This window comes from Homo sapiens, chromosome 5 (genome assembly GCF_000001405.40).
Source record: "Homo sapiens chromosome 5, GRCh38.p14 Primary Assembly".
NCBI classification, from domain to species: domain Eukaryota; kingdom Metazoa; phylum Chordata; class Mammalia; order Primates; family Hominidae; genus Homo; species Homo sapiens.
In genome coordinates this window covers 132,763,972-132,780,295 of record NC_000005.10, presented here as the reverse complement: position 1 = coordinate 132,780,295, position 16,324 = coordinate 132,763,972, and the positions used below count along the sequence as shown (strand labels likewise).

The 16,324-nt window shown below is 53.4% G+C and overlaps 1 protein-coding gene across 17 annotated transcripts in view, besides 2 other annotated features; it reads left to right on the top strand.

Annotated features, from left to right (window-relative positions):
* Positions 1-212: 212 nt before the first annotated feature.
* The window catches only part of SEPTIN8 (septin 8), a 29,265-nt gene continuing 13,153 nt past the window's right edge, over positions 213-16,324 (top strand). For 9 of the 17 annotated variants that reach the window (XR_007058599.1, XM_017009254.3, XM_005271928.4 and 6 more), the window contains exons 1-3: positions 3,057-3,188; positions 14,767-14,887; positions 15,877-16,072. Coding sequence is in view for 16 of the 17 variants with exons in the window: in XM_017009254.3 (XP_016864743.1) it covers positions 3,159-3,188; positions 14,767-14,887; positions 15,877-16,072 (347 nt within the window). In the remaining variant the exon portion in view is untranslated. Of the gene's footprint in view, positions 2,212-2,283; positions 2,621-3,056; positions 3,189-14,766; positions 14,888-15,876; positions 16,073-16,324 lie in introns of those variants that run through there. The other 8 variants (XM_047416999.1, XM_017009256.1, XM_017009255.1 and 5 more) reach the window with 2 other exon arrangements.
* Positions 2,737-2,786: a silencer, noted in NCBI's record as "silent region_16337". NCBI's record gives its function as "represses an Ori minimal core promoter by ATAC-STARR-seq in GM12878 lymphoblastoid cells {active_cell/tissue: GM12878}" and the evidence as "EXISTENCE:reporter gene assay evidence [ECO:0000049][PMID:35858748]".
* Positions 2,877-3,286: a silencer, noted in NCBI's record as "silent region_16336". NCBI's record gives its function as "represses an Ori minimal core promoter by ATAC-STARR-seq in GM12878 lymphoblastoid cells {active_cell/tissue: GM12878}" and the evidence as "EXISTENCE:reporter gene assay evidence [ECO:0000049][PMID:35858748]".

Here is a 16,324-nt window from a genome sequence, read left to right as displayed (position 1 = left end):
CACTGGAACGGATAGTCCAGAAACAGACTTGGCAGAGATGGCTGCAGCCTCCCAACATCTGCTCTCCTCTAACATTTTATGGACTTTTTAGCTGTGCACATGATAGCCAGAATAAAGACCCCATTTTCCAGCTCTGGCCAATAGCATGTAAGCAGAAGTGCCACATGGCAGCTTCTGGAATCCTCTGAGAGTTGGCTCATTTGCACTGTATTACTATCATTGCCTCTTGCTGCCTGGAATGCAGATATCACCATATTGGACCATGAGAGCAAGACCACGTAAGGCCAAGCAACAAGAAGAAAGTGTGCGTAGAGAGTCACATAAGCCCTGGACTACCTACCTGGACAATGTAAGAAAGGAAGACATTTCTATCTTGTTGAAGCAGCTGAACATAATCCTAACTGATGCACAACCTGCACACACATACAGAAATGTCGTCTGTGATACCATTTGCATTGTACATCAGAGGGGAAAGATGAAACAACTGGTTTGGCATACACATACACAAATTGCCTAGATGTGAAGGAGTTAAAAAAAAGTTTTTAAAGAAAATTTATTCTTTTCTCACAAACACAATATCTTTGTGAAGTTAGGGAAGGGTCTTTATTTTTAGAAGCCAAAGTAAAAATAATAAATAAAATAACAAGTACACTTGACAACATCAAAAATTTAAACTTCTACATGACAAAAGAAAGTATAAACAAAAGTAAAAGACAAGCAAGAGGCCTGGAGGGCAGCATTTCCTGAAGCGAAGTCTTGTCATGTTCAAGTTCAGTGTGGTGCTGGGTATGTATGCAGGGTAGAGACAAGGGGCAACAAAGTGTGGGTAGAGCTGTATATTCCCCTTTCTTTTGCACAGAAAATGCATATTAGCTGATCAAAAGCTGAGGACTTCTACAGAACCCTGTCTGTGTATGGAACTCAGCATTCCCCAGTTATTTGACGGTGAGACCAATCTTTTTGTGGTAAAATCTATGAACTAACCTCTAGGTGTATACGAAACACTCAGAAATGCTGCCATAAGAAATAACACTTTGCCATGTGAGAAATGATCGTTATATTCACCTTTTGAGCCCTCATAGATAATTCTCACTCTTTTATAAGTTCTGACCAGCAGCAGCATAAAATGAGAGAAATTTCGGCATTGTGGAATAGGAGGAAATTCTCCTGTTTACTCCTACAGAGCAGAGTGAATATATCCCAAAAGAAGGAAGTCACCTGTACTCTGAGCTTTTCCTTCTCATAGCCACTGGCCAGGACTGTAAGAAGTACATGTTTTGAAATATTTCCGATTAGAGATAAAAGACCATTTTGAAGATAATTTAGGGCTAGTCCCAGAGAGTTGTAATGCAGAACTGCCATACGGATGGCAGTTGGTCGTGATTTCTTGTTAGTTATAGGGAAAGAAAAAGGAAACAGTAGATACAGTCTAGGATGATCAATTCAGTATTGACCACACATTCTCTGGGCTCTGAGATTAAGGCCCTTGTAGTCTAGAGAGGGAGATTTTATTTAATATTATATTTTAAGTACAACTTAAAGCCCTTTACTTATGTTATTTAATCCTGTAACATAGGTGCTATACTTGTTCTCATTTTTAGGACCAGGGAAGGGAGGCATAGTTAAGTAACTTGCCTAGCTAAGGTTAAAAAGCTAGCAGGATTCCACCAGGAAGGTTTGCCATAGATCCAGCTACCCTAACCACTGCTCTGCTCTATTTCTTGTAGATAACTTTAATACAGCATGGGAAACAGCAACATAGAGAGAGGAGCAAAGTGAAAACATTGTCAGGAAGGTCCAGCGGGAAGTCAGTCCACCTTGGGGACAAGCTACAGTTTGCCTGGGAGAGTGAGGAGGGGAAAGCCAAATCAGGGTGACAAGGTCAAACAGCAGAGAGGGGGCTCCTCTTAAGCCAGGTGTGCTAAGTCGAACGTGGTCTTTAGGCACCTCCAGTCAGCACAAGTTTCTGAGTAGGAGAAACAGGTCAGGTTGCTTCTCAGCATACTGGGGTGAGGGGTGTGTGTGGAGGGTGGACCAACCTGGGATGAGGCCAGTGGGGGGTAGGGGGCAAACCTTGCCACATTCCCAGAAAGAGCAGAGAGAAAGGCAGAGGGAAGAGAAAGAAACGGGGTTTCAGAGGATTTGGGAGCTGCTTTTGTATAGATTGTCAGTGAGAAGGATACAGAACCTCCTGAGGCCTCCGACCCTGGCGTAAGTGTTAATTTTCTGAACGTTTTGAGCAGTGACATTAGCGGAGAGAACGTGCACGCACTGGGAGTGGTCATCCTCTTTGCACAATGGTGGAACCATTAAGACGTTGTCCCAAGCCCTTGGGACAGGCAGGGTGATGGACACTTGCAATCTGACGCCTTGACCGTCGAGCTCCGCTTTTCTATTGCAGGAATCCCAGCCTAAACTGCGCATCCTGCTCGTTGGTTGCACAAGGAGCCGAAGGCTGGTCCCTTGCCCGGGAAGGCCGCCTGGCCGGACGCGCGGGTCCCGCCGGGGTTCCCGCCTTAGCTCCGGCCGGAGCATCAGGTGGGGCCCAAGACACCCGCAGACTAGGCTGCCGCGGCCTCTCCCGGATCCGACGGGTCTCCCGCAGCTTGTCCACACTCTGGTTGGTGGTCCCAGCACATTTGCAGGCTCCAGCGGGTGGAGACGGCTTGGTGGGGGAGATCTCTAGGGCGCACGCCGTGCCCCACTTCCCCCTTACGGGAAAGGCTTTCCAGCGCGCGGACCCAGGAGACTCTCACCTAGGCTCGGCCCCAGGCTCCAGGGGACACGCAGAGGCCCGCCGGGCACCAGCCCCGAGCCCCCCGACACTGCCGTCCCGGTCCCCCAACGCGCGGACTACAAGTCCCAGCAGTCCCCGCAGCTGGCACCTCCCGCCTCGCCGCGGAGACCCCCGGCCGTCCAAGCGGCGGGGCTCCGGCTGCGCTCGTGGCCGGGCCGGGCGGGGAGGCCGGTCCCGCGGGCGGGGGCAGGGGCGGCTCCGCGGCTTCTCCCGCCGCCGCCGCCAAGGGGAGTTTCCAGGAAGTGGCCATATTGGATCCATTCAGCCGCAGCCGCCCGGGCGGAGCGCGTCCCGCAGCCGGCTGGTCCCTGTCGCTGCCCCTGCGCTCGTCCCAGCCCACCCGCCCGGTGCGGAGCTCGCCATGGCGGCCACCGACCTGGAGCGCTTCTCGGTGAGGGCCCCGCTGGGCCACGGCGCGCGCGGGAGGCGCGGGGCGCAGGAGGGGCCGCCCTGCAGCTGGCGGGGGGCGCGAAGCGGGCTGTCAGCGCCTCACGGCCGGGCCTCGACACCGGGCCAGCTCGAGGACCCCGGCGCGGGCTCTCGGCCGCGCTATCGGGGGGTCCCGGAGCGTCGGGCGGCCTGCCTTGCCGGGCGGCTGGTCGGGGTCGCTTCCTGGGGCGCAGGCAAGGCTAACCCCTTTCGCGGGAAGGAGCAAAGACCCGCCTGGCTCCGGGCAGGTGCGAAGATAGAGTGGCGCCCGCGGGGCCGCAGGTGAGGGTCCGGGACACTCCGGACCCTATCGCCCAGGGTGTTTCTTTCTGCACACTTGGGGAAGAGTCCTAGCCGCACAGGTGCTGCGGGATAGGTACAGCCGGGGAGGATGGAGGCCCCAGGATCCGAGAGAGTCTCCCACACGAGCCCAGGACAGTTGCAGACTTGAGTCCTGAAGACCCTTGGCCTGCTTTTCCTTCCTCCCCCGCTCCCCTCTGCCCCGCTCCCCACGCCGGAATCCTGGGTGCGACTCCAGGCAGGTCAGGCCTCAGTGGTCGGGTCTGCGGCAGCCATTCGCCAGGAGCTGGAGGGATTCCAGACTCAGCCCAGTGGGCGTTTATTTGGGCTCCAGTCCAGGTCCTCAGAAGGTTGATGTCCCTGGTGGTCCCTGCAGGGGTCTCACTGGGCCTGAGCCTGCCGACAGCCAACTTACTAAAGGCTTTCATAATTCACTCGCGGGAGGGAGGCCTTTGGGGGGTTGTATCTGGACATCCCCTGCTGTCTAAGGCTGGATCTGGGTGTGTCTGGGAGGCTAGGCTGTGACAGTGAAGGAAGCTGTGTCCTCTTGCCAGCATGTAAGGCCCTGGTCGGCTGGAAGGGGGAGGAGGGGGAGAAGGAGGAGGAGGAGGAGGGAGGCCCAGGGCTGTTGGAGGGAAGGGGGAATTCTGAATATGTGAACGATAACGAATTGGTTCTGGGGCTAAATAAGGGAGCCAGGACTTATGTAATTAATGCTATAAATACCGTCATCCCAATTTATATATGTAAATTTTCCATTTAATCTGAAAATACATTTCTTATTCTACTTTGGAAATGTGCATGACTAAAGCAGGAGCTCTTGGTTTCATAATTTCTAGACTCGGGTGTTTTATTCCCATTGGAGAGGGGGTCGTATGTCAGTTAAGTAAGTTTAAATACATGAGGAACAGATTCAGAGGCTGGGCTACTCAGAGATTCACTTCGCCCCGTATTATAAATTGGAATTTATGTACCGGAGGAGGGCAGTGCCTGAATCCTAACAGACCTGCTGATTAGCTGGAGGCCAAGAGACCCGTGAGTGCCTGGGTGTCTCTGCATGTGTGTCTGTGTGCATTTTCTGTGCCCAGCTGACCAGAAAGTTATGTCTGGGTCTTGTCTGTGGCCAGAGGTTTAACAGTTGATGTTGCAGGTGGGAGAGGTATGTAGAGAAACCAGAATCAGACAGCCTGATAGGAATCCTAGACACTCCTTGTTGGCCATGTGACCTTGGGCAGGTTATTTAACCCCTTGGTGCTCTCATGCGTATAATGGGATAGAAATATTTCTTCCCTCATAGGGGTATTGTGAGGATTCAACAAGAGAATCCAGGGGAGGTACTTAGCCCTGTGTCTGGCACATGGTAAGGACACAATAAATAATATATGCTACCTATTGTCCACGTGGATGTGAGGACTGGCCCCCTATGTAAGAAGGGAGCAGAGGATGCATTTGCCCTGTTCATGGCACTCTCTGTAGAGCTTCCATCCCTGCTCGTCCAGAGATGGTCCTCAGAGGGTTAGCTGAGAGGCCATGCTGTGGGCTGGTCAAGCCTTCCCCTGGGGTCCTGTGTTTGCTCTCGGACCATTCCTGTGAGGAGTTTTGGTATTAGCTGCGGGGTGGCCAGGGCACAGAGAGGGGACTGACTCAGGCAAGGGCGTAGAGCCTGAGCGCAGGGCCTTGGTTGCTATGCCAGCTTCAGCTGGAGGGATGGACACCTTCCACACCCTCTGCACTTTGGGCTGTCAGCCTCCTGGAAGGGCTTGGATAGGGTTGGATTTGGGTGGAGACCTTGGGTGGAGTTTGGCCTGAATTTAAGTCTGGACTCCATTCACCCTTCCTGGCTTGTCATCTTGGGAAAATCATTTCTGCCTTTATCTTGCTGTAAAATGGGCAGAGCCACACTGGTTCCTCAGAGAGTTTATGGAGGGTTAATTGCAGTCCGTGGCATGTTTGGAAATATGCTGAGGTGTCTCGCAAGCCCCAGGATGTGATGGAGCCATGACAGGTCTACACTGTCCCTCTGGCCAGCTCAGTGGTCAGTCTAGCCCTGCAGGCCTGAGAATTGTCCTGACCTGGAGCTTAGACGGCATACAGAGTTGTACTTTGAGATGGATGTGTGCTGGGTTCCTGTGTCCTCACATAGCATGGTGTACACACCACAGGCCAACAGCCTTGGCATCCTGACTGGGCTCTGCTCCACCCTAGATCAGTATTGGGGTAAGGGTTGGCATCCCCTGTGTGTGGGTGTGTGGAGCAGCCCTCTGAGGAGGGTGTGTTGCCTCTTGCCTTCCTCGGGCAGCCAGATTCCTGTCCACTCTTGCTGTGCCCCTCCTCCTAACTGGAACCTTGACTCTGGGGCTCAGCCCTTTCTTCCCCGAGGGCCAGCTCCGGTGTTTTCTCCTGCCAGAATCTCACAGGTTCAGACCCCGTGGTGAGCAACCCTTTAGGGCTTGGGGAAAGTGAAGCTGAGGGGGAGAGGAAGAAACGTGCAGCACACAGCCTCACACTGGCGTTCTTCCCAGCCAGTCACTTACCCCCATCTCTGCTTTATCCCCAGCACCATCTGTCACTTCCGTTGTCACCCCTGCAATCTTGATACTTCCCCAAGAAGCGGGCTCTTCAGGGAGTACCTAGTCCCTCCTGAAGCAGGAATTGAGAGCCCGCACCCAAATGAGGCTCAAGGTCTCTGTCAGAGTGATATCTCCCCATCTTGTAAAAACGGCCAGTAGCCTCCTTGCTGAGCCATGCCGAAGAAAAACGGGAGCTGAGCAAGAGATGCCCGTGCAGCTCCCAGGGCACATGTGAGCACCACCTGCAGAGCTGCAGCTCTGCCCTCTCCCCCAGGAGGTGAGTCTGCCTGCCCTCCCTCTCTCTTGGGCATCAGACCATGCTATGTGTGCCCACCTTAGGAAGGTCTCCTTGGGGTCTTGATTGCAGTGGGTCAGAGCTGCGGGGCTGATGGAAAGCATTGGTCATTCCAGGGAGCACATGCTAAAAGACTGACCATGATAGGAACAGAGAGGATGGCAAGGAGGAGACCAAGCTCAGGGCCAAGGAGGAGGGAGACTGGATGGAGCCTGGGAACCCAGGGTCTGACTTGTGTCAAAAACCTTGGATGGCAAGGAGGGCAGTGGGTGCTTTGAGCGCATTATCTTGTTGATGCCAACAGCCCAAGGTTGGGTGAGGATGCAGACTTTGGTCATTGGCTAGCAAAGGTAGGGGGAACAAGATCCAAATTCCAATACCAGAGATGACAGAGAGGGTGGATACCTTGGCGTTTTGAGCCCTCGGATGGGCTAGGTGGAAGCATATATTATATTTGGGGCAGTAACTACCACGAATGTCTCTGTGGCTCAAGTCCAGCTACCAGAGGCGAGCAGCTGCAGGATGGTAGAGCAAAGGGCCTGAGGGCCAGCTGGCCTCTGTGTGTCCCTTGCAGCCTCCCCAGCCTTCCTGCCTCTGTGCTGCCAGCTTGGGTTTCAGGATCCCCAGGCATGGCCCCCAAGGCAAAAGCTTTGCCAGATAACCAGATGCAGAGCTATGCATGCAGGAGGGAGACACATCTGCCTGGGGAGGAGACGCCCTCCCAAGGTCTCCATGCCCTTGTGGTAGAGCTGGGGCACTCTGTTGGCTTCTTTTGGAGCCATCTGAACCTTCAGAGCTCCTGAAAGAACTGGCTGGGAAGAGGCAGCGGAGGACGGGGCAGGGGGCATCTTGGCTCTGCGTGCAGTTGCCCTACATGTTCTTGGGGCAAATTAGATATTCTCCTCAGGATACACGGCTTTCAGGTGTTCCCTATCCTAGAGGTCAGATTAGAGGGACAGAACCAGCAGAGGAAGGTACAGGGGCCCATGTCTGCTGGCAGGTGGCTGGCTGTTTTCTGAGGGGGCTCCAGGGCTTGGGCTGCCTGATGCTTGGGGTTCAGGAGGGGCTGTGGGTATGGACCCAAGCCCACTTGCCAGACATGGCTCTTGGGCCTGGGTACAAACCTGACATTCTGCCTGGTGTTGGAGTGAATGGACAAGCAGCAGAGAAGTATAGCAGTGCCACCCCCATACCTCTGCCAACCCGTATTGGTGCCCATGCATTCCTCCGTCCCTTTCCAGCACTGGCATCCATCGTGGGGTTGGACAGAAGGCGGGGCACCTTTGCTGCCCACATTCTCCCTCCAAGGGTTTCATTTGCTGTGAAACAGAGGCTGCCTTCTCCTGCCAGTGATACCCAGACCACTCGTGGCTTTCCCTGTTACAAGGCAGTGGTGGCTGCCACTGGAGTCCCTGAGCTAAGTAAGAAAATATGAATGCCTGGAGTTCTAGTACATTCTGCAGCCCAGAGCACCTTCCCCATCTCCTCTGTGGTGGGATAGACCACTCCCTCTCAGGCAGCACAATAAAGGCCAAGAATGTGTCTGTCCTAGGCCTGGGGGTTGGGGTGGCGAGTACTGGCCCAGCTACCAGTAACTGTGCTCTTAGCTTCCTGGAAATCTGATTTTGATGGGAAAAGCTTGAAACACACTATCCCAAATTAATAAGCTCCAGCCTGGCTGGCTGTGTGCAGAAAGGAAAGACAGTGCCTCTTAGTGAGACAGAGAAACAGAGAGAATGGAGTATTGGGGTCAGGGGATGGTTTTGCTCCCAAAATTCCTTCTCTTCCCAGGATGGGTGGAGTAGGACTGGCCTTGTGAGGATGATTGGCTTCCTGTTACCTTGACTGCCGTCATGTTGGGACCATGGCGGGTGATCCTTGCTTGAATCTTCTCTCAAGTTTTCTGTTGCCACTGTAGGAGAAAGATGCTTTGGCTCCCAGGTGTCCTCTTGATTTGGGACAGGTATATCCTGCCTCTATTCTTCCTTCCTGGCCCCGGGTAGCAGCATCCCACCCCCACCCTCCCACGTATGTCTCCTTGGTTATTTCCCGTAACCTCTGACCTGGGCTTAGAGGCTTGCTGTGGAATCCTGGGACCAGAGCCGAAGCCTTTCCTGGGAAAATTCCTAGGATTCCTCTCAGGCTCAAGGACAGTTGTGCTTATGACCGCGACCACGGGTTCTGGCTAGAGGCCTCTGCTCTGGCTATTTAAGGCCCAGGCTCCTGGGAGGAGCTGGAGCCGGGGCTAGCATAGTTTGTGCCAGGAACATGGGTGGAGAAAGCTTCCAGTGGTCCATTGACTCCTGAGTCCATTGCTCAGTTACTTAATAGGGCCACCCCCAGGGCTGGAGCTCCCCTGGGGAGTGGGCTTCCTGTCTGCCTGACTGGGTGTACAGGTGAGTGGGTGCTAGGCATGGGAGCCCAGAGGAAGAAAAGCATCCAAAGTCCAAGGCACTGGAGAACTCTGGAAGGCCTGAGGTCTGGGGGCTGCTCTTTGTCCATTACTCGGTAGCCAATCCACCTATGGTGGGGTATCCTTTCTACTCCCACTGCAACAACCAGCCTAGTTTGGGGGTTTGGATCACAGGGGTCTTTATTTACCCACAGCTTCCCCGGCTCTGTTGGTTTAGAGATTCAGTAGATTTCCAGTTCCTTCTGGATAAAAACCTGTTTTTGTGTGTTGGCAACCATGAGATGCAGTTTCTTCCCAGATCCCACCTTGTTTCATGGTAAAAGGGACAGCTCCTCTTGGCTGGTGATGAGGGCTGCTCTAGGAGGCTCAGACAGAGCATTTCCTATCAGGAAAAGGGCGTCCTAGTTATCCACTGGGCTGCGTAACAAAATGCTGTTCTCTACTTTGTCTTGGACGGCCGGGCATGGAGGCACGCAGCCGGCCTGAGAAGTTATTGTTTTGGTTGTTGTCTTTGATGTGCCAAAGAAATGATGACACAGAAGCCTGGGGCCTGGCTCAGGAGCCAAAAGCTTGTTAGTGATTAGAGAGGGGATAATGGCCCCATGGAGTTTCTCATTGCATATGTAGAGCTCAGAGCTGCCAACTCCCTCTATCCTGGGACTTTGAAGACATATACAACGCTCACCCCTGTGTGAGCACCTCAGGGAGCTGGGTGTGTGGAATGAGCCAGAGGCTTTGGGTCCACCTCTCTCTGGGGTCCAAGTTAAGTTGTCCTGCCTGAAGGCTCCTCCCCACAGAGCAGTCTGCCATGGGGCTTCCTGACTTGAGAATGGAGCCTGGCTGCAGGGTCCGTCCAGCTCACCCTCCCACCAGAGCCAGCTTACAGACCAGCAGGCCTTTGGCCCACACCAGCCCCCTGACATGTTGTATTGGGCCCTCATGGTATTCTCAGTTTGTATTGGTTGTCAATCTTTAAAAATTACAGAATTTCACATAAAAATATAGATTTCTGGGCCAGGCATGGTGGCTCACACCTGTAATCCCAGCACTTTGGGAGGCCAACGCAGGTGGATCACCTGAGGTCAGGAGTTCAAGACCGACCTGGCCAACATAGTGAAACCCCGTCTCTACTAAAAATACAAAAATCAGCCAGGCGTGGTGGTTGCGTGCCTGTAATCCCAGCTACTGGGGAGTCTGAGGCATGAGAATTGCTTGTACCTAGGAGGCGGAGGTTACAGTGAGCTGAGATCACACCACTCCAGCCTGGGTGACAGAGCCAGACTGTGTCTCAAAAAATACATACATACATATATATACATATATACATATATATATATATATATATACACACACATACACATATATACATATATATATATATACATATATACATATATATATACATATATACATATATATATATATATACACACACACACACACACACACATATATATATATGTGTGTGTATATATATATATATATATATATATATATATATATATATATGTATATATAGAGAGAGATTTTTGGGTTCTCTTTAAAAACGGGAAGATTTGGCAACACTAGATCTGTGTTCCCACAGTTGGCTGGCGTTGTGGAACTGTGGCCACCATGGATTGAGCATAAGCACAGGCTCTCCAGTTCTCTGCCATTCCCACCTCTCCCCGGGAACCCCCACGCTTGGCCAAGTTAGTGGCTGTCTTTCATCCAGCAGGCGGGGAGTGATGTGACTAGAAGTGTGGGTTTCACAGTCATGTTGTCTCCATTCAGATCCTGGCTTTGCTCTCCTGAGCAGTGTGGTCTTGGGCAAATTACACACTCTCTTGATGCCTCTATTGTCTCATCTAGACAATGGGGAGGCTGCTACGGCCTATGTCATAGGGCTGATGTGTGGACTAAATTAGATTAAATTAGGGTTGCGCAAAGCAAGCATGCAATACATGTTAGTTATGTCTGTTGTTGTTGCCATTGTTATTAAGGTGCTGCTCCCCTTCACCTATATATGTTACCTGCCTGGCTTCTAAAGGCATTTGAGTTTAGGCTTAGCCCTCTGAGGTCAAGGATCTGATGTCCTCATCTTTTCACTGGCAGCCATCTCAGTTCCTGGCACACAGCAGACATGTCCAGTGCGTGTGTGTTGAGTGACTGAATGAATGAGTTGGAAGCCTGCTAAGAACAGGGGAGGCAATGTAGCAGAGTGGTTTGGGACAAGAGCTTGGTCTGTTCTCAGGTCCCTGCTCTGCCCTGGTTAGTTCCCTAGCTTCTGTGTGCTTCAGTTTCCTCCCCTGTAAAATGGGGATAATCATGGAGTCTGTCATCCACAGTGAGGAAGGACCAAGTGAGAGCCTGGGTGTAAATCACTTGGCTTAGTTCACACATGGTGGTCCTCAGTGAGGTGTTGGTATCATCCCAGACGTCCCTTCCTTCCTTTGGTTGTGAATACTGAGATGTTTTACCTTCCACACTGTCCCTCCTTTCCTGGCTCTCCTCGCTTTCTCCCTGTTCCTCTGCATCCAAAGAGTTTTACTTTGGATCCTATGGCACCGAAGATGTTTCAGTTGCAAGTAATAGATAATACCACTCAACTAGCCTCAGCAATAAAGAGGATATGGCCAGGGGGAAGGGGAAAAGCCCAGAGATAGGGCAGACTCTGGCTCCCTCTTTTCTCTGTGATTTTCTTGGCTCTGCCATCCTGTGAGTAGACTGCAGCCTTAGGCTAGCTCCCCTAATGGTCTCAAGATGGTCATAAAGGCTCAACCTGCGTCACTTGCCTGTACTTGCACCGATCATGGCATCACGCTGATGGGCTCCCACCCTGGGAGTTGGAGCTGTGGTCTCACCCACCAAATTGCAGGGCTGGTAGCCACTGGGTCACCTGACTTTATTTCTGAGTCATGGTAGCTGAGATGTGCAGGAGGTCCTTCAGGGGCTGCTGGTTCCTCCTAGGTTGTAACCCCACTCAGGTTGGTAGAGATGCCTGGAGCAGGCACCCTGGAGTGAGCAATGCAACTTAGATCACATGTCGATGCCAAATCTATGATCAGGGAGTTGGCATTAGTGAGAGTTACCCCTCGGTAAAGCCTGGAGGTCAGATCAGTCTCCTGGGACCAGGTAACAACACTGCCTCCATCAGGGCCAGTGGCCATTCTGTGTGTGTACGTGTGTGTGTGCATGCATGCTCCATAGACTCATACCCCTGACTGGTCCCCGGGGCTCCTAAACAGGTATTGCCCCAGATGTGTGGCCCCTGCGATAACAGAGTGTAGCCTGGGTAACAACTTAGGGATGATGACCTCCCTGTACCCCACACTTCCACAGAGAGAGCCAAGCTGTGTGAGAGGAGGCCACTCTGCAGTTGCTGTGTGTGGATAGGTGGTTTATGTGAGACCCACCCCAAGAACCCCCAGTGCTACACTTAGCCTCTGGGGCCTAGAACTGTAAGAAAGTGGGGGAAAACAGGAATGGAATGGCCTCTGCTTCTCAGTAAGTGCTCTGCGGCTGCGTGTGTGTGTGTGTGTGTGTGTGTGTGTGTGTGTGTGTGTGTGGTTTCCAGACACAGCTGACTTGGTGGGGTTTGGCGGCAGACTACAGGATGTTGGATTGCATCCTGATTGTGTCACCCCTTGGAAGAAGAGGATGAATAAACACATAGCCTTCTCTGCAAGCACAGCACGCCTTAAATTTTGGAGATTTTCAGTCTTGCCTGAAAAGAAAAAAGCTCTAGACCGACTGTGTCCTCCATTTGATCCTCAAGCCGACACAAGGAGGTGGAACAGAGACTAAATAATGAAGCCCTGTGTAAGGTGGGCAGGTGCTCTGATGCCGTAGCAGTTGGAGGCTGTGTTCAGTAACTTATAAATGGTAGCATTGTCCAGCATGTTGGGCATAGTAATGGGAGGGAAGGAAGAACAGAAAACCTGACCTCCCCAACCTGCAGCCGACATCTAGAAGCTTATAGAATAGGTGGAGAATCAAGATGCATTAAAAAAGGATAACCAGTAGTACTAGGAAACAGGATAACTGCCAAGTGAGGGGTCTGGAACGTAAGTGCTTGGGGGCCAGGTGAGAGTGGGTGCCAAGGGAAAAGTAGAGTAGCTGTAGAGCCGAGGGGAGGGGCAGAGTTTGAAAAGAGAGCTCAGAGTTACCAGCTGGGCTGGAACCAGGCCAGTGAGGAAGGCCTGGAACACCATGCTAAGGGCTTTGGACCTGACCCAGCACCTCCTAGGCTTCATTAACTACTTTTATGTGGGCACCAATGAGAGGAAACTGCCTTTGGGACCTCCTTGTCCAATTATGTTTGCAGCCCTAAGGAGATCTGGGCTTGAGTGGGGAGATTGGGACATGATGCTTTGGGGCTAGGTGATGGGGAGAAAGGGTCAGCTATAAGAAAAGAGGCTCCGTTGAGAGAGAGTCATGGGAGAAAGCAGGTTTAGGGGTAGCCCTGACTTGTTTGAGGGGATGGTACAACTGCCCAGAGGGGCCATGTGGGGTCTAGGTTGCCAGCACCCACACTTGGGAGTCGTTGATGCAAGGCTGCTGTGGGGAGGTAGACATCAGTTGTGCAGAAGGTTGGGTTTGAGTGCCAAGGTTCTCTGGTTGGGAGGGAAGGATGGCCAGAGGGGTTCAGGCCAAGGCAGTGGGCTGTGGCACAGGTCAGCTGCTCAGGTGCTGAGGAGATGCTTCTGTGGGGCAGGAGTCAGGGCCCCCTGTCGGTTCCTGACCCCGAGCCTGTATCCACATCTGCACAAGGGCTGCCACTGGCCCTATCTCCTGGGCTGTCCTTAGCTGGACCTGCTTCACCACCCTGCGGCTATGGGCAGGAGAGACTCTGAATCCGCTGCCCCTTCCTCTCCTTCCTCTTTCTAGCTGTCTCAGGGCAGTGGGGCTCAGGAATGGAGGAGGCATGACTCTGCACAACATGGAGCTGCCTAAGGTCTGCCCTCCAGAGGGGCTGAACCTGGGAACCTTCCCTCGGGCAGCATTTTACCCCATTCCAGGGAGTCAGAGAAACCAGCCACACAAGTTGGAGTGTGACCATGACCCTCTGCTTTGGGTCCTCGTGGTTTCTTTTTATAGAGCGGTGGGCCACCTCCAGTGGCCCCAGCTCACTCGGGGCCTGCCGCTCAGCCCTCTGCTAAGGCCAGGCCTCCACATTCTTACCCGGAACCTTCTGTCTAGACAACCAGGGCTGAGATGGGGGTGGAAGGGTGGCAGGAGTCAGGAGCCAGGAGCTGGGGGTCTCTAGAGAATACCACTGAGGCAGAAGGGAGGAGGCCTCAGAGTCTCAGTCCCTTTGAAACCCACCCCTGAGCCCCACGGGGGGGTTGTGTGAGTGAGGGCCGGCTCCTTTAGCAGGGTCCATGCATGAGTCCCACACGTGGGTGTGTGAGGAGCAGGGGTGAACATGGAGGGCTACGAGCCCAGCTGATAGAGAAGGCTCCTCTGAGGGAGCATGCTTGTGAGGGGTTTGGACCAGACGTGGCCCTACTTGAGTCCTGCATCAGTGGGAGGGCCTGGGAGGACTAGGCAGGGGCAGCATCCCCCGTCTCCTAGAGCTGGCTGCAGGAACAGACACACTTTCCAATCTGGTCCTCTGGGACCATCTGGGGCCTCCTCCTGAGTAGGAAAACAGGTGGGCCCTTATGGGTAGCAACCACAGCCCCTGGGGCCACCTATGCCAGGAGACATGGAGCCCTCAGCCCAGGCATCCCTGGCCATCCCAGGTGGAGCAAAGCTACAGAGTGGAAGGGCCTTTCCCCCTGGGGGCATCGGGCTCCCTCTGGGGAAACTTGGCCTGGAGTTGGTGCTCGGGTGTACTCAGGGTGTGTCTGAGATTTGTTGAGAATTCAGACATCGGGTGGGGCTGCTTCACTGTTTTAACTCAGATTTAGCGCCCACCCCGCAGCTTGACCTTTCTTCCCCAGTGGGCTCATGTCTTGCTTTATTTCTCTCTTGGCAGAATGCAGAGCCAGAGCCCCGGAGCCTCTCCCTGGGCGGCCATGTGGGTTTCGACAGCCTCCCCGACCAGCTGGTCAGCAAGTCGGTCACTCAGGGCTTCAGCTTCAACATCCTCTGTGTGGGTGAGTGTCAGGGCCTGGCCTCAGACAGAGGGTGGGTGAGAACCTCCTGGGAGAGGGGGTGCTTCTGGCCCCCTGTTGAGCTGCAAGGGGGCTTCCCAGGCAGAGTGAAACTTTGGGGGTGTCAGGACGAGGATTTGGTTGGTGTCTCTGCCAGAGTCAAGGATAGAGTTAGAGCCAGGGCCTGACACAGCATTGTCATGAAGAGTAAACTGGATCGGGCACATGAAAGTGCTTTGTAAACTGTGGGTGTTTATCACAGAGATTTAGGTTCATTTATTCATTTGTTTGTTCATTTAAAAAACATGTACTCATTTACTGCTTCCCACCCTGTGTCAAGGACGTTATGGTAAACAGCTCTGCCCCTCATCACCATATCCTATGGTAAGTGCTCCAGCACGCATGTGAACAAATAACAGCCCCAAGCAGAGAGGCTCTCGGAGGTTCCCTGGGACTCCCAGAAGGACACAAAGTGCTCTTCTGGTCCCTCTGCAGGTGTCCTTCGGGAAGCAGCCCATCCTGAGTTCCCCCAGCTAAAGCCATGTGGAGCTAGGGCTGTCCGGGGCGCATGGGTTGAGCCACTGGTGGCTTTAGACCCTGGCCCTCTTGGTCCCATGACCACCCTGGTCCCAGGAGGGGTGTTGTGTAGAGCAGGTTATGTGTGAGGTGATTGGGTCTGCAGTGGTGTCTACACAGCTGCCTGGCTCTGTCTCTTCCCTGCTCCCTGAGGAAATACATCACATATCACACACAGCTATGTCTTCTGTCCAAGTTCACCTTTTGGCTCTTCCTTCCACAGGTTATTTCTGAGGCCACAGGAAAAGATAGTTCCTGGGGAATGGGGGTGATGAGGGATGGGGTGGGCGGCCTGCCCCTTTCTCTTATCCAGGGGCCATGGATGCCTGAGCCCTGCCTGGCCTAGCCACCAGTCAAGGACAGCCCATTTCCAGCCTATGACACCCACTTCTTCCCCTCCTGTCCTCACTGCCCAGGGGAGACCGGCATTGGCAAATCCACACTGATGAACACACTCTTCAACACGACCTTCGAGACTGAGGAAGCCAGTCACCATGAGGCATGCGTGCGCCTGCGGCCCCAGACCTATGACCTCCAGGAGAGCAACGTGCAGCTCAAGCTGACCATTGTGGATGCCGTGGGCTTTGGGGATCAGATCAATAAGGATGAGAGGCAAGAGGCGGGAAGGGCGGCCCCACCCAGCCTCCTCCCACCCCACCTACATTGGCCCCTATAACAGTAGCCCAGCCCTCACACTGCAGGGGGCCAGGGAGGGCCTCTTGGGGAATATCTGAGGCTCTGTGGTCACCAACAGACCAGTTACTCCTTTAGGTGTCTGGAGAAGGGGTCAGCTGCCTGTATCCAGTCAGGGATCTCAGGCAGAAGCTGTTCCCAGAAAGAAAAGGCCAGGGGGCAGCCTGGCTT